General features: G+C 37.0%; 1 long non-coding RNA gene across 1 annotated transcript in view, besides 1 other annotated feature; it reads right to left on the reverse strand.

Moving 5' to 3' along the window:
- Positions 6,718-8,395: an enhancer, noted in NCBI's record as "VISTA enhancer hs599". NCBI's record gives its function as "enhancer in: forebrain[9/9]" and the evidence as "EXISTENCE:transgenic organism evidence [ECO:0001131][PMID:17130149]".
- LOC105370772 (uncharacterized) overlaps positions 9,244-27,333 on the reverse strand; it is a 63,650-nt gene continuing 45,560 nt past the window's right edge. The window contains exons 3-4 of the long non-coding RNA XR_932115.3: positions 13,120-13,238; positions 9,244-11,310 (exon numbers count right to left, since the gene is read on the reverse strand). This is a non-coding gene — a long non-coding RNA (uncharacterized LOC105370772). The remainder of the gene's footprint in view (positions 11,311-13,119; positions 13,239-27,333) is intronic.

Consider the following 27,333-nt stretch of genomic DNA (forward strand, 5'->3'; position numbering starts at 1 on the left):
TACAACCGCTAGTGGGGATAGAGGTGGATGTCAGTGGAAGATGTTTGCAGAAAGGAAGTGCTCTGGAGTGAAAAGTAAAATTGACTTTTTATTTTTGTATTCTGTTCAGTTGTACAATTACTTTATATTCTTTAAAATTATTATATTGCTGAGGTAAAAACAATGTAAGCAAACCAAATGAGCATTGCTCAATTTTTTTGAGCATTTTATTTCTCATTTGAGAATTACATGAAAGAAAACATATGTGACTATAGGCTAGTGAGACTAAGGGATAAGGATAGGATGTGTAGATTAACCAGTTATTTTGCCTAACTGGCATCTACAAGCAAGGCTGCCTCATTTTTTTTTATTATACTTTAAGTTTTAGGGTACACATGCACAACGTGCAGGTTTGTTACATATGTATACATGTGCCATGTTGGTGTGCTGCACCCATTAACTCGTCATTTAACATTAGGTATATCTCCTAATGCTATCCCTCCCCCCTGCCCCCACCCCACAACAGTCCCCAGTGTGTGATGTTCCCCTTCCTGTGTCCATGTGTTCTCATTGTTCAATTCCCACCTGTGAGTGAGAATATGTGGTATTTGGTTTTTTGTCCTTGCAATAGTTTGCTGAGAATGATGGTTTCCAGCTTCATCCACGTCCCTACAAAGGACATGAACTCATCCTTTTTTATGGCTGCATAGTATTCCATGGTGTATATGTGCCACATTTTCTTAATCCAGTCTATCATTGTTGGACATTTGGGTTGGTTCCAAGTCTTTGCTATTGTGAATAGTGCCGCATAAACATGCGTGTACATGTGTCTTTATAGCAGCATGATTTATAGTCCTTTGGGTATATACCCAGTAATGGGATGGCTGGGTCAAATGGTATTTCTAGTTCTAGATCCCTGAGGAATCGCCACACTGACTTCCACAATGGTTGAACTAGTTTACAGTCCCACCAACAGTGTAAAAGTGTTCCTATTTCTCCACATCCTCTCCAGCACCTGTTGTTTCCTGACTTTTTAATGATTGCCATTCTAACTGGTGTGAGATGGTATCTCATTGTGGTTTTGATTTGCATTTCTCTGAGGGCTGCCTCATTTTTATTTACGAAATCAACTAGATTGATCAGCTATTTTGGTAACTGTTAATATGTTTGCGTCTCATCAGTTTCCAGCATAACACCAGACTTTTTTTTTTTTTTTAAAGGAACAGTATACAGCCAGGTCTTTAAGTGGTTTACCCTCACATATCATTGTCTTAATTTACATTACTTAGGAGATTTAAGTATTTTCCTTAAGTTTCAAGATTTCAAATATTATATAGCCAACAATATTTTTTAGGCATTGTTTCTAGAGTTCAAATATTGTCCTTTCATGCAAGTCACCTGAGAGTTTTATAAAGAAATGTACAGTTAGCTGTCTGTATCTGTGGGTTCCGTATCAATGGGTTCTGCATCCATGGATTTAACCAACTGAGGATTGAAAATATTTGAAAAAAATTGCATCTGCACTGAACATGTACAGATTTTTTCTCGTCATTATTCCCTAAACAATACAAAAACTATTTACATAGCATTTACATTCTATTAGGTAGTATAAGTAATCTAGAGATGACTTTAAAGTATGTAGGAGGATATGTGTAGGTTATATGCAAATATGCTACCTTTTACACAAGAGACTTGAGGATCTGCTGATTTTGGTATCTGCAGGTGTCCTGGAACCAATCCCCCATGGATATAAGGGGATGGCTGTACAAAAAGGAGATGGCCTCATTTTCAACTGGGATCTAATACTCCTCCTCAAACACCAAGAGTATGAAGCTATCCAAAATTATTCTTCTTAAAAAATACATGTAAGTCCTCTCAATGGGAGAGGACTCTGTTAGGTGGCATTGTAAGTTATGGGCCATGTGGTCTGTTGCAGCCGTACAAGATTATAGGTGGGACATAGAGTCCACGTGGAGAGTGAGGGAGAAAGATTCTGCAGAGTTGTTCAACAACACTGTGTCCAACGCAGACTAAGGCAGTTCACCTCTCCTTCTGCTCCAAGGGTCAGAAGCGATTTTCATACTTCCCAAATCCCTTCTGCTCTTTTTCCTCAAGGATGTTTATACGAATTTTGGAAAGAACACTATAGGAATAGCGTGTAGCTCATACACTAAAAAGAAGTGGAAAGATCAGTCACAGATGGGTATTGGTCATTTTTTCATTTATTCATTTAGTGTTTATTGAGAAACTACTGAGAGTGTGACAATGTGGAGATGAATCAGAAGTGGATCCTGACCTGAAGAATTTGTGGCTTAGGGCATCTGAAAGAAGCACATAAATAACTATAGTACAATATAATGTCTGATTAGTGCCACAAGAAAGTCACATGAGGAAACACTACAGGAGTGTTCAGAAAAAAAGGTGAATACTTGAATGGACAATCAGATAATTAGCCATTCCACTCATGGTCTGAGTGGTTTTTGATCTAGTCCCTTGGTGTTTCAATTTCTCTCTACTCCCAATATTAGGGAAAGATAGTTGTTTTAAATATGAAACATTATGTGTGAATAATAGTGAGTTTCTCTGCAGTGAAGTGTCAATTTAAGGTGTTGTATTTCTAGTAAATGAACCACTTTTAGTGGTTGCAAAATAAAATATACCTATAAAAAGGGAATGTACTTATAACTCCTTGATCATCAATAATTGTTCATACTACTCCACTTTGGGCAAAATCAACCCAGACGAGAGTACTTTATCCCGAAAATTTGTCACATTATGCCTAATAAAACCGATAGCAGACTAATTTCAAAGATAAAGACCTTAAAGTAATAGTTGAACAAGAGATAGGAACTGTCTGTCTTTCTCCCAGGGTTTGGGGCAGGAGGTAGCTAGGTCTATATAAGCAGCTCCTTTTCTCTTCCTAGAGTAAGAGGAAGCAAGTATTATCATGTGATTTAGACTTGACTTGTTATAATTATTTCCAGCGTCACTCACTTTCCGAAATCTACCAGAGCACCTAACCAGGCATTGCATTTAAGAGTTAACAGCATTATGAAATCCAGTTTATGAGTCTGAATATTGTAACCACCCTGCACCATAACCTGTGGTTCAAAAGACATCCTAGTAGCAGTCATCCTAAACTCAGGCCCCTGAGAGAGGGGAAAGCAGTGTTTTTATGAAGCAAACTATGGCTGCAACTTTACTGTCATTTTAGCTCTTCCTCAAATTTTCCTTCTCCCAGAATACTCTTATGGAATCTCATCAGTGCAACAGCTTCCTTTCGAGTGGCACTGAGTGTATCTTGCCAATGGTGCATGCAGTATATAAGCTCATAACACCCATTAGCATTAATGGGAGTTATCCGTGTAAATCCCCTCACATCGATTAGAGAATAGGCCCCTTTTGATTTTAGAAATCTTTCCTGTGAGGATTTCCCATGTGTCTAGTATGGGCATATAAATGGCCATTTTATTGTATTAAATATGTATCACATCCATCATTTTTAATGCTGTGCTGTGATGAAGGCTTCTCAGTTCTGGGATCAGTTCAGAAAATATTTAAACTTGGCAAGCTAAACAAGCCTCAGCTAAGAAAGCCTAAGGGCCCCATTCAGAGGAACATTATCTACCATTTATGCTTGATTTAAAAGACACACACACACACACACACACACACAACTGAAATTACTCAGAAAAAAACTGTGGACAACATTGTTTTTGACTAAATTACAGGCTTTTAATATTCATTAGCAGTGACTTTTCCATTATTCAGCCAAGAAAATCTGTACACAAACCAAAACCAAGACAGGGAAATTTACAGACAATGGCTGGTGTTTGTTAACAACAAAACAATACCAACTAAAGAAGGTCTACTTAGGTTCTGACCTAAGGTGGCTCTGTTGAGTGATTCTCTCCCTGATCACGACATTCATGTAGAGATTAAGAGTGGAAAAGAAATAAAATCCATATTTTCCCCATTGTTATTTTATGAATTGTAACTTTGCTACTAGAGAGTGGCTATTTGTAAGACTCCCAAAGCAGAGGCAGTGTGACATTGTCCAGGGGTGTAGACTGAATGCATCATTTACCCATAGACCTATCTTAGCCTTTGGATGGTCTTGCTTTCTTCAGCTAACCACAGTTTCTACCACTTCCAATTGTATTGTAGCACCTCTCTTCCTACACATTCCCCTGTTTGCATAGTAAGTCTTGGAGCTTGACCGTAAGAGTTTGATCCTGGCACTGCCCATCCTAGTTGTTTGTCTCTAGGCAAGCTATGTAGACTCTCTGATCCTCAATTTCATTCTCTGTAAAATGGGAAAATAATACGTTTGTTCAAAGATTGTGGTCAGAATAACATGAGTTAATGTTCATGAAGCCCTAGCTCAGACTCTGGTACAGAGAAGGTGTTCAACATATGGTAGACGTTATTATAAAATAAGTACGAAATCGTTATAAATGGGATGTGGGAACAGGCTTTAGAATACATGTACTTACTGGATCGGTCAACACTGTGGGTAGGATTTCTGGCCCTACTGCCTAAGGTATAGGAGATGCAAGCGAATGTCAGCCTCACAGGTCTGAAGAAGCAGCCCATTTCTCAACTCCAGCTTTAAGAGCATATTTACATTTTACGCAGTACAGAGACCATTGGAAATCCCATCTCATTAGCATATATCTCTGGCCACGTATATTTTGGGGGAATAAGTATGTCCTTATGGTAAAGCTGTTGCAGCCAATAGGAGAAAAACAACCTTGGCTTTGCTAGAGCGAAAGTGCGGCTATGAATGTCCAACTACCAATTTCTTTGTTAGGGAAAGGCTTAGTATGGCCACCTCCTGCTTTTTGCATTGACCAGATAATGTTTCATATAAGTAATAGTTTGGCTGGATTCATTTAACTCATTCAAGGGGTTTATGTGTGATTATATGTATTCGGTATTTCTTAAATAGATCTTAGCTTATTCATCTTTTCTTTTCCTTCCTTTTATTTTCTCCATTCTTGGAATTCCTTTGGGTCTCTAAGAGAACATTGACTTACTGGATCTTCTTTTAGACTCCTCCTTATAATGTATTAACTCTTGCCGAATTAATCGACTCTCTTTTTAATCAGCTGATAAAGAGAATGTCTTCAGTTTTTATTTTTCTTTTCCCTTTTCTCCTTTTTTTTTTTTTTTTTGAGAAGGGTATTCAATTCACACTTAAACATATTTCACAGCCTTGGCGTCATCATGTACTTTAAAAGTCTCCGTGGCCTTTTCAGACCTTTATTCCCTTCAAGGCTTTTACAATGAAAGGAGACTTCCAACCATGTCCAGCAAGTCATACCAGACAGCATTACGTAGTGGAAATTGGTGACATTTACAGAAAAGGAATATTAGGAGGACATTCGTGGGTTTATTTGTTAAGATTAATGGGTTAGGATTATTAAAGATCTAGTTTTTCATATGTATACATGTGGGTATGTAAAGATGGGGGTTGCGGATGGAGGAGAGAGGCAGGATTTAAGAAGACAAAGGCCTAAGGCAATTTACATTAGGGTTTACAATGGTTTTGCTGCAAGCATGCAGAACTAACTGGGTTTAGATTAAGGCAGTCTAATTAGTGTCATGTCAAACTGGCAGTGATCATAAGACAAGAGAGAGGTCACTCTTGTCATCTTCTTGGTCTTTTGCCCTTAAATATAGAGCTGCATAAAGTACAATCTCCCTCTTGTTAATGGAAGCAGAATATGTATAATCTGCACATGAAATGAAAAGAAAATGTGTAAGGAAATTTCTTTTTCCCATTTCCTCGTCAGGAGCTGTGAATTTTAGTGCGAATTAAAGTAAGGCTAATTCTGCAGTCATCTTCTGACCTGTCAGGGTAGCTGTCACCCTCACGTCTCTCAATGCAGGTCTTTAGCTTCTTCTTGCTGAGTGCAGCCTTTGCCGACTGACAGAAAAATACCGACCATGACAAGAAAAAAGAACATAATGTCCTTTTCACCCATCACTACTCAAAATTGCTCAATCTTTACTGACATATTATTATACATTGTTTCTCTGAAAAAGCACTTGCTTTCTTTTTTATATAAAAAGTACAAAACTTTCAAGAGACAAGAAACTGTTCTTTAGAAAAGATTAAAGCCTGTAATTATTTTAAATTGTCTATTAATATGCAATATGTTGCCCTTTAATATGAATAAGGTGTAGTGAGGCGCTTGAGTCATTAATAGGGCGCCCACTCATGCCTCTGTAGTTTAGGATCTGTCGCTTCTTTTATTACGGACCCAAAGGCGCCATGGTGGGATCGGCTGCTGTGTTTTGAGACCAATGTCCCAAGCTTGGAAAAATCTTTAAAAATGTATTGAAGACTAGATGAAAAACCACCCAGTTACTAATAAATGAAGTCAATAAAGAGGGTTGGAAGTAAAATTTGAAGCTCTTCCTCCATCTTTTATTTTTCCCCTTTTATGGAAAAAAGGGAGCACCTCACTTTAAAATACATTATTGGCATCTGTGAAATGCACAATAAAATATTATTTACAGTGAGAAGAAAAAGCATCAAGGGGTATGTGGACATATTGGAAGAGAATGTCAACATATACGGTGGCAATGAGTCCACCAAATGCAGATTTTAAAGCATCAGCGTGCAGGCTCATCCTCCATTAATGACAACAACCCTCCATTCCACCTCGTGTTGCCAGTGCCTCAAACAGTGGGGTGAGTTTGGGCTTACTATATCTAGGTGCAGTGGAGGTGGGTTTAAGGTGAGCCTTCTATTGTAGCTACCAATTCTCTTTCCTGTGATGAGTCCGGATTCTCAATAATCCTAGACAATTACTTTAGGTCCTAGTAGGTTCTTGTTTTGAAAACAATATAGAGATCAAGTACTCACTACAAATAATTAACCAATAGACACAGGAAACACTTAGAAACAGTAGTGTTTATTTCAAGAGGCATAATCTGAGGTATAAAAATGCACTTTGCAGTGGGTACTCATTTTAATAATTTGCAATATTTTTTGGATTATCACCAAGATTATTTTTATTTTTTTTTAACTGAGGGAAATATGTGTTATTTCATCACGTGACATTTCTTTGAAAAATCTTTCTTGTCTAGATGTGGACCTTAATGCATTATGCAAAACCCAGGGATTTAGATTTTTGACATTGCATACACTCACAATATATTCTAAGTGGAGACATTATATGCTAACTTCTTGTGAAATCCTGTAGCAGCTGCTTGGTTCATATAATATGTTGAAAAATATTTATGTAGTTTGTTTTCTTTTCTGTCAACCCTGGTATCTTATGAAAATTTTTTTCAAATGGCCAGTAGCTAAAGTAGTGACTTTAGTTTGACTTAATATTATGCCACATTGACAGATGAAAACTCCTTCTAAAAATGTCATTTGAGTGCTCGACTAATTTGCATTTAGCTCGAAAGCTTTTAGTGCTTTGCACATTCACATTATAAACATTTGGGTGAACATTAATACCCCAGCTAAACAAAAATGCTATTCACTCCAACCATTTCTTCCACTACATAAAAACTATAAATGATTCTCCTACCAAAAAAAAAAAAAGAATGCAACCCGAAAATCAATTATAGTAACTATTTAGAAATGTAAAGGAAAGGCAGTAAAAAAGTGACAAAAAAATCTTTAATTGTAGGGAAAATGTGCATCTTTTTTTCCCCCAACATGTGAATAAAATGCATTTCCTTTAACAATCACAGTTACAATAGATCCATGCATCTCACAGGAAAAAATTGACAATTTGATTATGACTTGTACTTTTTGCCGGGGCCATGAAAGTGGTTTATGTTTGAAATGTATCAGCTGGAAAGTACTTATTACTCATAAACGCTCTGCTATTTCACTTTCTGCAAAGTGAGCTGTTAACAGATACAATTTGAGCAGAATAGCCAGAGGAGGCCTTTTGATATGCAGAAGAGCTGACCCGCGTGCTGAGCCTTTAATTGGGTTTTTAATTTTCCAGGCCATCTGACAATATCAAACATGATCCCAGTGCTTGAAATGTTGATTGGAGGCTAAGAAGGATGTACTACAACATGGCATTATGGAGAGAAAGAGGAAAGAATGCAGGTAGAGAGGAAGACACTGAGAGGCAAATCATCTGCCTGGTGATTTTTGCTGGTTTTAGAGAATATTTCCAAACAGTTTAGCATTTCATTTTAAATGATGAACATCTGATTATTTTGTAGTTATAGTGAAGATGTTTGAAAATATTTCTAAATTATACACCTTAAGCTACTTAGCTAAACGGATCTGCTCAAGTGAGAACTGGAAAAAAAGCATCCCGCAATTTAACATGTTTTCTTAGGCAAACCTACAAAAGTAAGAAAGTAAGGTTGTTGAGAAAATGTTTGATTAATTTGCAGTTATTTAATGTTTTCTTTGAAAAGCTCCTGAATCACAATTCTTGTTTTCCAATTATGAGTTTCTCTTTTTGATAAAAATGCATACGTTAAAATGGTCATTTTATTCAATGTCAAGTAGGTGCTCATTTATAGCTATCAAAACGCTTGAAAAAGAGAAGCATATGATTTATTTTGGCTTTGGACAGATTATTCAGTAAACACTTTTTTTATTTGCTCATTTGTAAGGCTAAAGCAAAGAATAAAATCTAATTTATTATTTTATTAGAAGTGGGTATCAGAGTGATGCAGGACTGTGGATTTAAGAAATCTGTAAATCTCTTTAATAAAGGCCTGGGGAATTATTAGCAAGGACAAATGTAAAATGCTTGACAGTTACATTTCTAAAAGAAAAACACAATAATCTCATTAAAGAAATTACTGACAGCGGCTCACAGATGTTAATGGTTGAAGAAACAAAGGACACAATATCAGAAAGCAGATTATCTTCTTCCCCTTTTAGAATTTTACTATCGATCTAACTTACTGTGCACATCGAAATAACAAATTTCAGTTTTTCACTCAAGAATTCTCTTTCTCAGTAACAATAGGTAATTTAGAATAAAAAATATTTTTATACAATGGCCACTAGAATTTAAGCAGAAAGAATTGTTAAAGTCATTAAAGGAAGAGGTTTGTATAAAAATGATACTGAACTATGCAACATAACAACCATAAGAAAGACTGCCCTGAAAGCAAATAATATTTACATTATGGGATAATACAGATATAGATATAATTATACATGCATTTATATATATATATATATATATATATATATATATATATATATATATATGTCTTGAAGGCTATTTAGAAAATCATTTAGATATATGTGGTAAATTTATAGCCTCAAGAACTAGAATTTTATTTTTTCTTTTTTATGCTCACTTCCTCTTATTAACAAGGAATGAGTGAATTATTCACTTAAATGAAGGTCAAAATCAGCCCAATAAACAAGGAAAATGTTGTGTTTTAACGGAAAAAAATAGCAGCTGTGAAATATTACCTATATTATCTCTGAAACAATCTTACTAACAGAGTAGGTGATTGGGTTCTATTTAGGTCTATCTAGTGCTTTCTGAGATATTTTGTGCAATACACCAAATTATGCTCTGTAACCTGCTGTATTACATTATGCTGAATACTACTCATGTGGATCAAAATTAAGAAAGACGGTGTGTACACTTAATTCTTTAATCTTTCACCTGAGCCTCTTAAATGTTTCAGAGTGCTGAAAGCTGCACACTTCTCTAAGATGTAGTAAATATTCAATTATGTCCATTTTGTACTTGAGAAAATGAAGGCACTTAGAGACTACTGATCGGAATAATGTTTTCAAATGTGTTAATACAGCTAAGGAATCTTAAATCCTGGGCAGAGAGTCACTGGGCATACCACCTGACAAAGACCTCAACAGTAAGTATGTGAATCCCAGCACACTGTGGGAATTTAGACAAGCCACTGATTGACATTCTTTCTGAATTTTGCTACATCTAAATTCAAGATCAAATTGTTTGAATTTTAGGCACAACTTCTTTGATGGGGGAGAATATGGAGAAACTTTGGAATACCTTTTCAAGTATAGAAAGTGATATCTTATGCCTTAATGTTGTATTGACTTAAAACTTAATGTGCAGATAAAAATTCCACTCCACATCATAAGTTGAGAGGTATCTAAGAGAGTTGTCAAACTATACAGTTAATTTTGCCTAGAATCCCTACTTTGTCAAAGTAAAATTTTACTTGAAAGTCTTTATGATTTATAAGTTAATTTTTTTGTGTAATTTGGAAAAATAACAGGATTTAAATTTTTCATATTTTTACCTCCATTCTAAAAAGAACTGATTATAGTCTTTAATTATTTAATCTTTGGGTTGTTGGTACAATAAAAGAGAGGTAAAGTACCACCAACCCAGAAAAAAAAAAAAAAAAAAAAAGGGTAACTCTATCCTGGGCACGTGAAGCAGTCTAAATAGCTTATATATTATGTTTAGGAAAAAGTTTTCTTAGAAACATTTTTATATAGGTCTCGTTCCTAATCTTAAATATTTTAACGTACAATAGTTTCTTGCAAACAACGAGAATGGATTTATATGGCCGTTCCTGATACGTTGAACTGATTTAAGGGTTTGTAAATTTATTTTCTGGGGACCTGAGCCAAAAGAACTCTTACAGGGTCTAACAAGAATCATTCTGTAGCAGAAACTACTCCACAGACTAAACTTAAGTAAATGTAGCTATTCTCACCCCTGGCTACCTGCAGATGAGAATATAGAGATGACTTACATTCTCCCCAGAACCTTTCTGGTTGGATTAGAAAGGGGCAAAAGATCCCAGAAGACATGAACAACAGTTTGTTTTTCCACACTGCCCAGAAAAGAAGAGGTTACATTATGGAGCACCAACTATATGCTTTTATGTATGTTGCCTCCTGTGATTTTTTTTTTAAGTAGACTTTAGTTTTTGGTTTTAGATTCATAGAAAAATTAAGAAAATAGAATGGAAAGTTTCCATATACCCTGAATCCAGTTACTCTGATTGTTAACATCTTACATTAATATGGTACCTTTGTTACAATTATTAAACCAACATCAACATACTGTTATTAACTAAAGTCTCTACTTTATTCAGTTTCTACCCAATGCCCATTTTCTATTCCATTCCAGGATCTTATCCAGGATACCACATTACATTTAGTTGTCATTTTTCCTTTGGCGTCTCTTGGCTATGACAGTATCTCAATCTTTCCTTGTTGATGATCGTGACAATTTTGAGATGTACTGGTCAGGTATTTTGTAGAATGTCCCCCTCCTGGAATTTTTCTCATGTTTTTCTCATATTAGACTTGGGTGCCTCATTTGATTTCAGTCACAATCCTATTGGGTTGATATCTTGCAAATGAAGAAACTGAAGTGAAGAGAATTGAAGTAAATTAACCATGGCTACACAGCTAGTGAGAAATCTGTGATGCCAAAGCTTGCGTGTGCTTAGTTACACTGCACTGGCTTTATAGCTATTATACTCTTATGTTTAAATATGCCCTATATTTGTTTATTTCATTTATTTCTATGGGACTTACTTTGTTTTCCCATATGAGAGGTGTCTACAATTGCTTATTTTGCCAAAGGAAAAAAATAAACAAACAGATAAATAAAATCTCATGGGAATACAAATTCAGCATGAGGTTTAAATAAAGAAAAACAGTCAGGTTCACATTTTTTTCTTGGAAGTTAACATAGTTCACAGCCTTCGGCAGACTCCATTGCAGTGTTTTTTCAGGATCAAATTAAAATAGTGTAACTATCTATTTCCCTTTCTTCTGCATCTGATTCCAGGGTAGACAAAACCCCAGGGCCAAACTTTATAGATCAAGTGGTATTTCAGAAGCCAAGCTGCTCCCTTAGGCATCATGGTTTACTTAGAGTACTTAGATGGCCAAAAGGTCAGCTTCTGGGAGGTTAAAACAAACCAACCTAGATGTGTGGTGGTGGGAAAATTTGCTTCATATTGGATACTACTTTTGCCACCTCTCCTGTTCCTGCCTTCCAATGTCCAGTTACCATAACTATTGATCAGACAATGAGTTATGAATGGAGATTAAAAAAAAAAAAACAAAACTCATCCTCCAAGAGACCTTTTGTAGGTCATTGCTTTTGTGTAGAAACAGTGTTGGGGACATGATCTACCTGTGGAAACACAATTGGTAGCTACACATGACAACAGAGCTACTTGAAGGGACTTAGCTTAGGAGCTTTTAAAATTCACAGAGACCTAGGTTCCACTCTAAGCCAATTCAATCAGTCTGCAGGACTGTGGCCTTAACCTAAGTATTTCTGTACTGAGAACCACTGACCTATATCCATCCAAAAAGATTCCAAATAATCTTTTATCAAGAGGCATTTAACTAATTGAGGACATGCCAGTTTCTAGGTATACGGGAATGAATAATACAAATATGCCTGCTGTCCAGAAGAGAATAGTCTAGTAGGAGTGGGTAATAGAGCAGTAATCAAACCACAGTCTAATGGTGGAATAATGAAGGCAGCTACAATATGCTAAGGGAATATTCTTTAGTAAGTATTCTGTAAAACATCAGGGAAGCAAATATAGCTAGTTGAACCAATGGTATCATTTTTCTGTAAAATGTGAGGAAAGTTACATGACTCCTCTGAGCTTGTTTTTTTTTTTTAAAGACTAATCTACATTATATCTAAGGTTCATTAAACATGTATTTGTAGGAAAATGTTACTGGGTGCTAACTGTTTAACAATGACTTTTGGAGTACTATCAGACACATAGTTAGTTTTCAAGTTGAGCAAAGTTTGGTACCCATGTAGTTAACTGACGAACATTCCAGATAAGCAAAACATTCATACATACAGAAACAAACAAATTGGTCATTTTTCCCAATAACTATTGCTGTGAATTAAAACAACATTTTGCTCACGAATCTGCAATTTGGACAAGGATTGGTATAACAGTTTGTCTCCGCTCTACTCATTACCGGCTAGGAACTGGGGACTGGAAGCTGAGACTATCTCAAGTCTATTCATTCATGTTGATGTAGGTACTAAAACAGGTGGGAGGATAGAGCAGCCTAGGACTTCTTGGGCATCTCCCTCTGTGTCTAAGTAGCTGCTCCAGAATGGAGGCCCAGAGTTCAAGGTAGCTACCTGTCCCAAGAAAGCCGGGGATAGATATGTCACCTTTTCTTACCCAGACTTGGAAGTCATGCAATGTTATTTCCACTGACAAACTCCCACGCTGGCATCTGGGTTCCTGATTGGCTGATGGAGCTCCTGATTTGACAAAGGGGCTTGGCTCCTTTGAGTGACCTAGAGCACAAGGAGTGTATTAGTCCATTTTCATACTGCTATGAAGAAATACCAGAGACTGGGTAATTTATAAAGAAAAAGAGGTTTAATGGACTCACAGTTCCACATGACTGGGGAGGCCTCACAATCATGGTGGAAGGTGCAGGAGGAGTGAAGACACATTTTATGTGGTGGCAGGCAAGATAGTGTGTGCAGGGCAACTGCCCTTTATAAAACCATCAGATCTCATGAGACTTACTCACTATCACGAGAACAGCACGGGAAAACTCGCCCCCATGATTCAATTACCTCCCACTGGGTCCCTCCCACAACACGTGGGAATTACCGGAGTTGCAATTCAAGATGAGATTTGGGTGGGGACACAGCCAAACCATATCATGGGGGAACTTGTCCATTAGTTTGGAATTGTGTTCTTCATAAAGACTGAGGCAAGCAAGTTCTGTGAAATAACATCTTTGTTTCTTGGTGTGTGGTGTGTGTATGTATGTGTGTATATATATAATATATATACACACACACATATATATATTTTGAGAATAAAACTTTATTTAAAAAAGGAGTTAAAAAAGAGTCACTAAAGCCAACCTCCATTAAAGGGAAGAGAAACTATAATTCACCTTATTGTGGGAGGAGTCAAAATATTGGCATACCATAATTGCCGCTAAACAGCAGAACTTTCTATATGATAACATTAGCTTGAATACGGGGTTTCTTTTGACCCTTTAGCTTTATATAATCAATGCTTCTAGTAGGTGCAGAAGTCAGCCAATACATAAATAATATTAAGGCCTATTCAAAAGAAATAATAGCTGCTTCCTTCTGATGGTAATTTCTGAAAAAGTTACAAGCCAGTGAAGTAAAACTAATAACAATATTTACACAATATCTATATGCATTACCATGTGGCCACTAGCAAACTTCACATTTTTTTTTTATCTCATTCAATCCTTCTAGCAAGTCTATAAGGTAGGTACTGGTCTTGTATTATCCCCATGTTGGAGGCTCAAAAAGGTGAAGAAATTTTCACAAGGTCAAAAAGCTAATAAAAGGCAGACTAGAGATTTTCACCAATTGGTTCTCACTCCAGAGACCAATGTCATAATAGCCATAGTAACTTATAAAGTTCATAGTTGCCCGCATATTCTGGATGATAAACTTGTCCACATTATTTATAAGACTTATTCCTTCCAAGGAAATTTGAAGTTGTGCTAACTCTTATGCTCCATTCTCAAATTTTATTCATGTTTTTTGTTGTTGTTGTTTTTTTTTTTGAGACGGAGTCTTGCTCTGTCGCCCAGGCTGGAGTGCAGTGGTGCGATCTCGGCTCACTGCAAGCTCCTCCTCCTGGGTTCACGCCATTCTCCTGCCTCAGCCTCCCGAGTAGCTGGGACTACAGGCGCCCGCCACCGCCCCCAACTAATTTTTTTTGTATTTTTAGTAGAGACGGGGTTTCACGTGTTAGCCAGGATGGTCTCGATCTCCTGACCTCGTGATCCGCCCGCCTCGGCCTCCCAAAGTGCTGGGATTACAGGCGTGAGCCACCACGCCCAGCCTTGTTCGTGTATTTTTTAATGTGACCCAATTTATACTCACATTTGACTTTCCAGATTAAACATTATTAAAATATCACTAGAGATCTCTCTATAAGAACCAACAAATATAGGTAATCACGGATTCTGTGTCTTCTGAGTGTAGGAAACCAAAGAACCTTGTCGTCTGCTGTGCAGGATTCATATTTGTACCCTGAGTGGACACTGAAAAATCTGTAAAGAATATATGAAACTCGGTTTGAAATGAGTATGTTCCCCTTTAAGTATATTCTTTTGTCTACTCTGCATGGTGCTTTGTCAAAAATGTCTGAATCATTTAACATCTCATTTTTGCATATCCCTATTTTGTTTGATGAAAGTAGATGTGATATAAGCAATGAGGAAAGAAAAACTTTCCGAGAAATGCACTCCCCTATACTCCCCTGCTCCCAACATATGATTAATCATGTTAGCAATCGAATGTCTTTCCACTCAGGACTGCTGCAGTCTCCATCCAGGGGAAGGAATTGGGTGTTTCCAGAGACTCCCATTGTGAGGCAGAGGCAGCGGCAGTGCTGTGTGCTCAACTGCCCAATTAGGTCATGGGACAGCCTAGGGAATGAAGAAATAAGGGTGTCAGGTGACCTGGAGATCGGGTAATCAGTCTAAGGCAAGGGGGATGGGAGATGGTTGAGTAAAGGGGGCAAAAAGATGGGGTGGAGGGAGAAGAAGAGTTTTACAAATAAAAACTACTTGAATAATGTAACACATAAGAACCCAGGTCTTCTTCCTATCTCTCTATACACAGCTGGATGACTTTTAGGTAAAAAAACAATTAATTCAGAAATATATCATGACCCAAATTGGGTTCTTGCTATTTCATTTTAAAGACTGGAAATCCAATGGGTTAGATATCTTTTTTGCCTACTACAATTTCCCTGTATCCTAGAATCAAATAATTAATGATTATTAGTGATGAATATGCTCAATAATTCATTTAGTAAGTGATATGGAGTCCTTAAAGCTATATGGAGTCCTTAAAGTATATGATTCTGGGGACATGAAAATGATTACAATTTAGCTTTTGGCTTTGGGGAGAGACAGACAAATATATAAACGTTAGCACAATGTGATGAATGCTGTAATAGATGCACAAACAATATTAGGCAAGACAGATGCACACCGACGCTATTGGAGAAGGCTGTTCAGAGGTGGACTGGATTGCAGAGGATAGAGCAGGTGTCTTCTGCAAGAAAAAAAATTCCAAGATGGAGGGATCAATGTGCGGAAGGGTGCAGAGAATGTACGTGGTGCATTTAATACTGTAGTTCAGGGTTTCTGGAACTAAAAGTGTGTGGCATGGGAGATAGGCTGGTACAAGTGTCCAGGCTAAGAAATTTGCATTGTGTGTTTTGGAGTGTCAGTCATAATATTCCCTAGTTCTCATTGTTTATAATAACTCATTAGACACAGCATAAATCTAAAATTTATCTTTACAATGTCTTAGTTTTCTCATCTGCAAAATGGGGATGATCATTTTAATTTTTAAATTTTCAGTCCTACTGCCAATGCCTAATTCAAAATTTCATTACTGCCTACCTATTCTATTGTAATAATCTCCAGACTTCCTCCCCGGACTTCAAGCTTTTCCTTTATTTAAAGAATTCTCATGTCATTGCCAGATTAAAAACGAAACAGAACAAATAATTTAAAAAATACATTATCATCTATCTTCAGTACCTCTCCATTTCCCAAAGAATAAAGTCCAAACTTTCTAAAAACGTAGATAAGACTTTCCACTAACTATTCCAATCTTATTTTAACTTATTTTATAATGTCAATTTTTATTTTAGATTCAGGGGGTACATATGTAGGTTTCTTTACATGGGCATATTATATGATGCTGAGGTTTAGGATACAAATGATCCCATCGCCCAGGTAGTGAGCATAGTGTCCAACCTTTGCCTCCTTTCAACCCTTGCCTCCCTCCTATCCTCCCTGCTCTAGTTGTCCCCAGTGTCTGCTGTTGCCATCTTTATGTCCATGAGTATACAATGTTTAGCTCCCACTTATAAGTGACAACATGTGGTGTTTGATTTTCTGCTCCTGCATTAATTTGCTTAGGGCAATGGCCTGCAGCTGCATCCATATTGCTGCAAAGGACATGATTTTGTTCTTTTTTATGGCTGCATAGTATTACATGCTATATATGTACCACATTTTCTTTATCCAGTCCACCATTGATGGGCACCATTGATTCCATATCTTTGCTATTGTGAATATTGCTGCAATGAACATACGAGTGCATGTCTTTTTGGTAGAACAATTCGTTTCCTTTTGAATATATACCCAGTAATGGAATTGCTGAGTCAAATGGTAGTTCTGTTTTAAGTTCCTTGAGAAATCTCCACATTGCTTTCCACAGTGGCTCAACTAATTTGCACTCCCACCAACAGTGTATAAGTCTTCCCTTATCTCTGAAGCCTTGCCAACATCTGTTGTTTTTTGACTTTTAATGGTAGCCATTCTGACTGCTGTGAGATGGTATCTTATTGTGGTTTTGATTTGCCTTTCTCTGATGTTAATGATGTTGAGCTTTTCCTCATATGTTATTGGCTGCTTGTATGCCTTCTTTTGAGAAATGTCTGCTTACGTCTTTTGCCTACTTTTTAATGGGGTTTTCTTTCTTTTTGCTTTCTGAATTAAGCTCCTTATAGATTTTGGATATTAGACTTTTGTCAGACGCATAGTTTGCAAATACTTTCTCCCATTCTGTAGGTTGTCCATTTACTTTGTTGGTAATTTCTTTTGCTGTGCAGCAGTTCTTTAGTTTAATTGGGTCCCACTTGTCAATTTTTGTTTTTCCAACCTTATTTTATTTTATATTCAAATACATCCCACACTCCTGCTTTGTTGGGCTTTCTGATCTATTATATTCTCTGGCTGATATGGTCCTTCCATTTTGGATATCTCTTCTCGGTAAAATAATGGGAAAAATATGTACTTCATAGAGTAATTGCATAATTGAGAGAAAACAGGAAAAAAAAACTTTTGTAAACTCTGCAAGTATATGTTAATGTGAGTGATAATGTGGAGCTTTCAAAAGCAAAATGAGAAGTAAAACAACTACAAGCAGAGTTGGCATATGGCCCACAAGGTCATCTACCCATTGTGTGATTATGGACAATTTCCTAAATCAAACTCTAATGAGTGTATCTATAGAATTGGGGATAACATTAACAATCTCCACATCATGGCATTGTGAGGCGGTTCAATGAGATGATATATGTGAAAGCAATCTGAAAAGTATTAGTAGTCTGTGGCTATGCAAATATTGATTATTACTATTTGTTTCCTAAATCACCATGACCACTCTCTATTCTATTAGAGTTATTTATGTACATGTCTTATAACACATAGGAAATTGTAAGAAATTTTAGGATGAGATTTTAATCATGTTTATTCCCCCAGAGAATAAGTAAGTGAAGCTCCTAAGGTCAGTGTCTTTCTTATCAAAGCAACACGGCTTGTGTTTTATGGCAGAGCAGTCTGTGCTTGCAGGGCAGGGCTGTGTTCTGTAATCACAGATGCCTTCTCTGCTTGGGCGTTGTTACCTACGGGGTAGTGTGGGTGAAAGACTCACTTATCTCTTACATATATTTTAGTCTCAAACATCTGAATCATTAGAGGAAAATTCCTTTGCCGTTGCTCATCCGTATCAGTGGAGTTCTTCCTCAGATTTTTATAATCACAATTTCCCACGTTGCTATAGTTGCACCCCTCAAATTCATGCAATGTTCCCTCTCCAGTATCTAACCCAGCAATGTACCAGTTATTTCCTTTTACATTATAACCTACTGGAAAAATTCAATTTTCACATCTGTCTGGTGGACTTTGACTGATACTTTGCTCTCTATGTCGATATTACTGGGAATTCCACGCATGTAAAACTGAATAGTGCAGAATGAAAACCAAATGTTAAACTTTAGCTATGACACACGGAGCTTCTTTTTCTATTACACGATTATTTTTAGAAGCTATTTCTATCACTCAACACTTATTTTATTTTTGCATGAACTACATGAGCTCTTATTACTTACAAGGCTGTGCTTCTGAGTCATCCCTAATCGATTAATGTTATATACTGAATGGACAATTGGTTTTAGTTTTTTCTCATTAAATGTTGCCCATTTCTAAGACTTACAAATTAATGGCAAGCCTAGCATTGGAATCTAATCTAAATACCCCTTTTTAATTTGAAAAATAAGAAATATGAAAGTGTCAAGAAAAACTGTAATGTGTTTGCACAAAACTGGTGTCATTACAACTAATAGCCTTAAAAAGTCTGTTGGTGATTTATGTTGCAGAAGTTGTAACAGGTGCTGGGGGCAGTAATTTTCCTTCTCATGTCCTAACAGAAGTGAGGTACCTGGGAACAGACATTTACAAGCGGATAAACTTTTGGTGATTTTTTTTTAACAAGGCAAATCAATTGCTTTTCAACTTTTAAGTGATTGTTGCTGTTTAACATTATAGTTATTTGCAAAATACTAAAACAAGACTTGCTCCTATTTGACAATATCCACTTAAACAGGATGTACTGAATTCTAAATCTTTTGAGCATAGGCTTCAAATGTGGGCAAAATCAGAGCAGGAGTAGGACAGGGAGAAATTAACATGGGCTGAGCACTTATTATAACACATCTATTATAATACATGTGCCAAGGGATTCTCTCACATTATTTCATTTATCTCCTGAATAACCTTGTGAGGCAGATTGGATTCTTCCACTTTACAGATGAATACATTGAGACTCAGATTTCAGACTTGTCAGACTCCAAAGCCCAAGCTCTTTCTACTTCACGAAATGGATGGAGCCCATGAATTTTTCCCCACACAAGTTTGAATCAAAGAGAACTCTCATCATAAAAGAAACTTTGTGCAGTTTTGCCAATGTTTCCAGTCTTGACCACACATAATAGTGACTTGAATTTGGTGAAACCAGGATCTCTCTAATAACATTGTAATATACAGACACAGTATGTTAGGTGAAAATATTAGCCCATTGCCCTGATTTCTAAAATCATTGGATAAATAGTCATTATTCCCAAGAAAAATTGTATTCCCTTTATCACCAAATGCAGACTGACAAATTACATTCATAAAGTGGATATTAATTGGAAGCTTGTGGCCTAGGGAGTGCAAAGAGGATGGGATTAGAAATAGACGCTGGATACGGGAGGTAAGGGGTGGAGAGTGCAAGAAGGACAGACAACTACAAATAGAAAAGTTCAGGAGGAATCTTGATTGTTACTTCCACCAGCTTTTTACAGATGAAGATACTAAGGGCAGAGTTTTGCAGCTGACTCAGTTTTCACTGGACTGCAGGGTTGGGTTTGGAATTCAGACTCCCATCCTTGAGAAAGAAAGCCCACATTTGTTGGTTTGTGCCATTTTACAATGTAATGTTAGCAGAAAGTTCTCGTTGTACAGTGTCTGTGGGTTTAAGGCCTGAATAGATCTTTGGGATTTGAAGTTATTGTGACAATGACAGCCCTAGATTATTAGTCTGATCCTGTATGGAGAGTCAGATTTCTCTGGGCACTGAAAATGATGCTACTATTACTACTGCTACTAATACTACTATTACCATTTCTTGTAGGTAATATATAGTTCACTGGAATTTACAAAGTGTTTTCTTATCCATTTGACCTTTATAATAGCCCTCTGTAGAATTATACTAGAAGGTAACATCCATGAAATGACCATGAAATAATGTTTTAGTACTAATAAAATTTCAAGTTGACATCCTTGCTTCTCAATTCTTGATATCTTTTACAGCATTTAACAACTAATTCAAAGTTTTCTTATCTATAGAATGAAGATACTAATATCTTCCCTGTCTATCTTTAGAACCATTGATTAAATCAAAGGAAACACTATTGAAACACTGTTTAAAAAATGCTCAGGAAACTGCAAATTTTTATTTTGTTACTATTGTTGGGATGCACTCATTTCACAAAAGCTCCCTGAAGGAAGATATGTACATCTTGTCTGTCTAGAGAGGGAGCAAAATATAGTGATTAGAACAGAGACTCTGGAGATAGGCAGCATCAGTATGATTACTAGCTCTGTCAGCTACTAGCTGTGTGGTGTTGGGCAAGTCACCTAGGGCAAGTCACCTAACCTCTCTGTGTTTTAGTTTCCTTGTTGGCAAATTAGAAATCATAGAATTCACATAGGATTCATGAATTCATGTAAGGATTGAATGTGTTAATATATCATAAAATACTTTGAATAGTCTTCGGCATATACTGAGTGCTGTATAAGTATTGGGTCTTTCTATCAGCTATATTGCCTTCAGTATGGTCTTGTACTTTGTAGATGATCAATATATTTTGTTGAATATATAAATACAGTAATAAATATAGAGCAGGTAGGCTAGCTGATATTCCAGAATTATAGAAAAGAGACAAAAACGGTAGAAACAATTTGCCTCACCGTTTAGTAAAATAATGATGCTCATAGTGATGACTTTGAGACATCTAGAAAAGTTAAAAATAAGCTCAGAAGCCTGTGAGCCAGATAGATAAATGCCAGATTTTCCACTATGATGTCGACATCAGTTACAAAGTACTCTTGCAAGTATGACAATAAATCAGTGATGTACATTATAATCACTCCAATATATATAGAGAAGAAGATCTAATACTCAGGGATGTTCATTGGCCTGAGGTCACTTGGTATTGTGTAGATGCGGGAATCCAGATTTTCGGAATCAGGTGCATTTCCCACCACCTTTGACTCCTTTCAAAGCTGAGCTTTTACCTGTCAGAAACAATACTGTGAAACCACATCACGAAATCATTTCCACCTTTTTTTTCAGTTTTCAGACTTCTCTTTGTCCTTCTAACCAAGAGAAAAAATGGTGGGAAGTGGGAGTGGAGAAGAGAACAAGCATTCAGTGAGCACCTCATCGGGATCAGGCACCTCCTATTGCATCTGATGTACTCTTTTCTGGAATCCTGTAGATGGGGTAAATCAGCTAGGGCTGAGTGAGTTAGCCAAGACTGCACAGCTAGCAGATGACAGAGAAGAATCTACAGCACAGTATGACTTCAAAGCCCGGTTCTTTCTGCCTCATAGGGGGACTGCTTCCTGCAGCCTATCCCTACAGCGAGAGCTACTCTGAGCTCTGTGTGAAGCAGCTTTGCACTCACAGAACAGCCCTTGAGAAACCTCCTGATATTCTGTGATGACTGATCTTTTAGCAAAGCAGGAAGCCTTTGCCGGGACGGTGCCAGACCTGACATTTTATGCCTTAGTATAGCATTTCTCAAAATGTGAAGTGTGAGCTACAGATTCTTCTTATTAAAATTTTAATAGTTGCATATTTATTTTAGTGTTTTAAAAATATGAATAGTTTTATAATCAGAGGAAAGAATAATTTTCCCCTGTAAAGAATTTGTTAAGTAAAACATGTATTGGCTGAAGAAAAACATGATGTAAATAAAATATAGGTGGTATGTGGACATGGCAAAAATCATGGAAGGAAATTATGACACCAAACCAATTATACTGAAGGATAGCTACAGTTATCAAAACACAGAAAAATCAAATTATGATATAGTTATATATGTGCATCCTTAAGACATTAAATAACTAGTTCTAGAGGAAGGTCTAATAACGATTGCAATTTTGCAGTCGTGATAAGCATAGATACCATTTTGAGATACCTGCAGCGACATGTGGTGTGATATGAAAGTCTCCGTGCTTTCTCTTGGTTCCAAAGTCTCAGGTACTGTGAATACCACTGTGCTTTACTGCCTCTCTTTATAATTGAAAGAAATAATACATCTCAGTTAGAAGCTGGTGAAATTAAGATATAATACTTCCCCTTTCAATGTTCTTTGAATTAAGAACCTCTTGTCAGGTGTCCAAATGAACTGGGTTTAAATCTCTCTGCTAGCACGTAATAGCTGTGTTACCTTAGCAAGTAATTCCGGCTCTCTAAGTCCCTGAAGAGGGATAATGACAAGGGGAATTTACAGAGTTTATGGGTATGTAGTGCCGAAATTGTGCACATAAAGTACTTGGTACTGTGTTAGAATTCACTAAATGTTGTAAGTTTGCTCCTAGTGCTCCAGTGATGGGGATGGGTGACCATTCAGCCAGCAGAGGCTGCATTCTAGGAATGCAGCCTTTTCATTTCCTTACTTTTCCCCAAAGGGCTCAGATAAAATATTTCATTGTTCTGGAGGAAACTCATGATCCCATTAAATGGGCTTGCTTTTATTTACACTTGCACTTTGTAAAAACCAAATAATTCAGTTGAGGTGTGTATGTGGAAGAGGGGATGACAATATAGGTATTAAACATACCTAGTGATTTTAGGGTATGTAAGAATGGGGAAAAATGATGTATGCAGAGACACTGATTGAAGAGTAAGCATTAGAAAGTGATGAAATTAAAAAGGGGAATAGAATGTACAAAGGTATTTTGTAAGTAGAGAAGGTATCAGTATTTTCTCTTTCTAATGTACTACTCTACTGTGCTATTGTTCTAGTTTGGATCGATTCTATGAAATAGTTTCCTATTATGGGTTAGAGAGATGCAAACTCCCTCATGATCTGCTCCACTTTAATGCTTTTAAAGTGAGTGAGTTTAATATTAAAAATGAAAAATGTGCAGGCAGATTTTATCTAATGGGAATTTGTCCACTTTGCTTCTTGGTAAAAACCCTGCATCAGGAATGAGATTTGGGAAGAGTTGAGATAAAAGAGTTTGAAAATAGTTATTGATGAGATGTGATACTTACTGTTAAGTAGAAACCATGAAAGATCATTCCCAGTTCAGCTGAATGGGAAGTGAACAGTCACATTGCTCTTGTAATGGGGCTGATATGCAAGTCTTTGGAGAGGATGATATATGTGAAGAGAAGTCCATGGAGAGGACATTATGATATCAAGACAATGACAAAACAAATTTCAATGCAAATCTATAGAGACCATATTACAATGTCAAGGCGATGGCAAAATGTAAGTCTGGAGAGACCATTTTACAATGTCAAGACAGTGGTAAAACAATGTCGCTGAAAGATTATTGAGACCACATTGCCATGTTAAATTACAATGTCAAAACATTATCATTGCAAGTCTTTAGAGATCATGTACCTCTTTTAAGATTATAGCAAAACAATGGAATTTGAAATAGCAAACAATGGAACAAAGGAACTTTATCTAAGTTCCTATTACTATCAAGAAATGATGGTAAAAATGGAAAGGCAAGTCAAAAGGTTGTTAAGGAAACATAAACAATGACAAGCACTAAGAATGTGCAGTACATGCAGTTAGGATTCGACTTCATTGTTGCTTTGAAGAGAGTAAAGGCTCTCATGTAGAGATGTAGAAATAAGGTTGGAAAGCAAGTATAGCCAAAGGCTGATGGGAAGTCAGGGGTGAAAGAGACTGAGGTACAAGAGACACATAAGCAGCTGATTTATAAAATTTGAATCACACTCCTCTTCCCTAAATAACTGATTTATTGTTTTAATTATTCACGAGTCATTCTCACGACGTGAACTTCACAAATCCTTGGTTACTGAATCCTGCATTGCCTGAGAGCTTATTTGTGATGTAACGTCCATCACCCTCTGTTTAAACTTATATTCAGCTAATAGTTATTACTAGGTGTCAATCATTGTGCTAGGTACTTAGTTTCCTCATGGGCAAATGGACTTTTCTTTTTTCCTACAAAGCTGGGAGGAGTAAGGAAGCTATGGATACAAAGGTGCTGTTAGCAAATGGGATGTGGAAAGGGGGCTTTCTAATTGCAACCCCAGTGCCCTCTTTGAGAATTTGAGCACGCTGCCTCACTAAGCTATGTTCAAGCGCCTTTTTTTTTATTATGACACTAAGTTCTAGGGTACATGTGCACAACATGCAGGTTTGTTACGTATGTATACTTGTGCCATGTTGGTATGTTGCACCCATTAACTCGTCATTTACATTAGATATATCTCCTAATGCTATCCCTCCCCCTTCCCCCCACCCCACGACAGGCCCTGGTGTGTGATGTTCCCCTTCCTGTGTCCAAGATTTCTCATTGTTCAATTCCCACCTATGAGTGAGAACATGCGGCATTTGGTTTCCTGTCCTTGCGATAGTTTGCTGAGATTGATGGTTTCCAGCTTCATCCATATCCCTACAAAGGACATGAACTCATCCTTTTTTATGGCTTCATAGTATTCCATGGTGTATATGTGCCACATTTTCTTAAACCAGTCTATCATTGTTGGACATTTGGGTTGGTTCCAAGTCTTTGCTATTGTGAATAGTGCCGCAATAAACATACGTGTGCATGTGTCTTTATAGCAGCATGATTTATAATCCTTTGGGTATATACCCAGTAATGGGATGGCTGGCTCAAATGGTATTTCTAGTTCTAGATCCCTGAGGAATCACCACACTCTCTTCCACAATGGGTGAACTAGTTTACAGTCCCATCAACAGCGTAAAAGTGTTCCTATTTCTCCACATCCTCTCCAGCACCTGTTGTTTCCTGAGTTTTTAATGATGGCCATTCTAACTGGTGTGAGATGGTATCTCATTGTGGATTTGATTTGCATTTCTCTGATGACCAGTGATGATGAGCATTTTTTCACGTGTCTTTTGGCTGCATAAATGTCTTCTTTTGAGAAGTGTCTGTTTATATCCTTCGCCCACTTTTTGATGGGGTTGTTTTTTTCTTGTAAATTTGTTTGAGTTCATTGTAGATTCTGGATATTAGCCCTTTGTCAGATGAGTAGGTTGCAAAAATTTTCTCCCATTCTGTAGGTTGCCTGTTCACTCTGATGGTAGTTTCTTTTGCTTTGCAGAAGCTCTTCAGTTTAATTAGATCCCATTTATCAATTTTGGCTTTTGTTGCCATTGTTTTTGGTGTTTTAGACATAAAGTCCTTGCCCATGCCTATGTCCTGAATGGTAATGCCTAGGTTTTCTTCTAGGGTTTTTAAGGTTTTAGGTCTAACATTTAAGTCTTTAATCCAACTTGAATTAACTTTTGTATAAGGTGTAAGGAAGGGATCTAGTTTCAGCTTTCTACATATGGCTAGTCAGTTTTCCCAGCACCATTTATTAAATAGGGAATCCTTTCCCCATTTCTTGTTTTTGTCAGGTTTGTCAAAGATCAGATGGTTGTAGATGTGTGGTATTATTTCTGAGGGCTCTGTTCTGTTCCATTGGTCTATATCACTGTTTTGGTACCAGTACCATGCTGTTTTGGTTACTGTAGCCTTGTAGTATAGTTTGAAGTCAGGTAGCGTGAGGCCTCCAGCTTTGTTCTTTTGGCTTAGGATTGACTTGGCAATGCAGGCTCTTTTTTGGTTTCATATGAACTTTAAAGTAGTTTTTTCCAATTCTGTGAAGAAAGTCATTGGTAGTTTGATGGGGATGGCATTGAATCTATAAATTACCTTGGGCAGTATGGCCATTTTCACAACATTGATTCTTCCGAATGTTCTTTCATTTGTTTGTGTCCTCTTTTATTTCATTGAGCAGTGGTTTGTAGTTCTCCTTGAAGAGGTCCTTCAAGTCCCTTTAAGTTGGATTCCTAGGTATTTTATTCTCTTTGAAGCAATTGTGAATGGGAGTTCACTCATGACTTGGCTGTTTGTCTGTTATTGGTGTATAAGAATGCTTGTGATTTTTGCACATTGATGTTGTATCCTGAGACTTTGCTTAAGTCTCAGGATACAACTTAAGGAGATTTTGGGCTGAGACAATGGGGTTTTCTAGATATACAATCATGTCGTCTCCAAACAGGGACAATTTGACTTCCTCTGTTCCTAATTGAATACCCTTTCTTTCTTTCTCTTGTCTGATTGCCCTGGCCAGAACTTCCAACACTATGTTGAATAGGAGTGGTGAGAGAGGGCATCCCTGTCTTGTGCCAGTTTTCAAAGGGAATGTTTCCAGTTTTTGCCCATTCAGTATGATATTGGCTGTGGGTTTGTCATAGATAGCTCTTATTATTTTGAGATACGTCCCATCAATACCTAATTTATTAAGAGTTTTTAGCATGAAGGGCTGTTGAATTTTGTCAAAGGCCTTTTCTGCATCTATTGAGATAATCATGTGGTTTTTGTCTTTCGTTCCGTTTATGTGATGGATTATGTTTATTCATTTGTGTATGTTGAACCAGCCTTGCATCCCAGGGATGAAGCCAACTTGATCTTAGTCGATAAGGTTTTTGATGTGCTGCTGGATTCGGTTTGCCAGTATTTTATTGAGGATCTTCACATTGACGTTCATCAGGGATATTGGTCTAAAATTCTCTTTTTTGGTTGTGTCTCTGCCAGTCTTTGGTATCAGGATGATGCTGGCCTCATAAAATGAGTTAGGGAGGATTCCTTCTTTTACTGTTGATTGGAATAGTTTCAGAAGGAATGGTACCAGCTCCTGTTTGTACCGCTCGTAGAATTCGGCTGTGAATCCATCTGATCCTGGACATTTTTTGGGTGGTATCCTATTAATTAATTATTACTTCAATTTCAGAGCCTGTTATTGG

Source organism: Homo sapiens, chromosome 15 (genome assembly GCF_000001405.40).
Source record: "Homo sapiens chromosome 15, GRCh38.p14 Primary Assembly".
Lineage (NCBI taxonomy): Eukaryota > Metazoa > Chordata > Mammalia > Primates > Hominidae > Homo > Homo sapiens.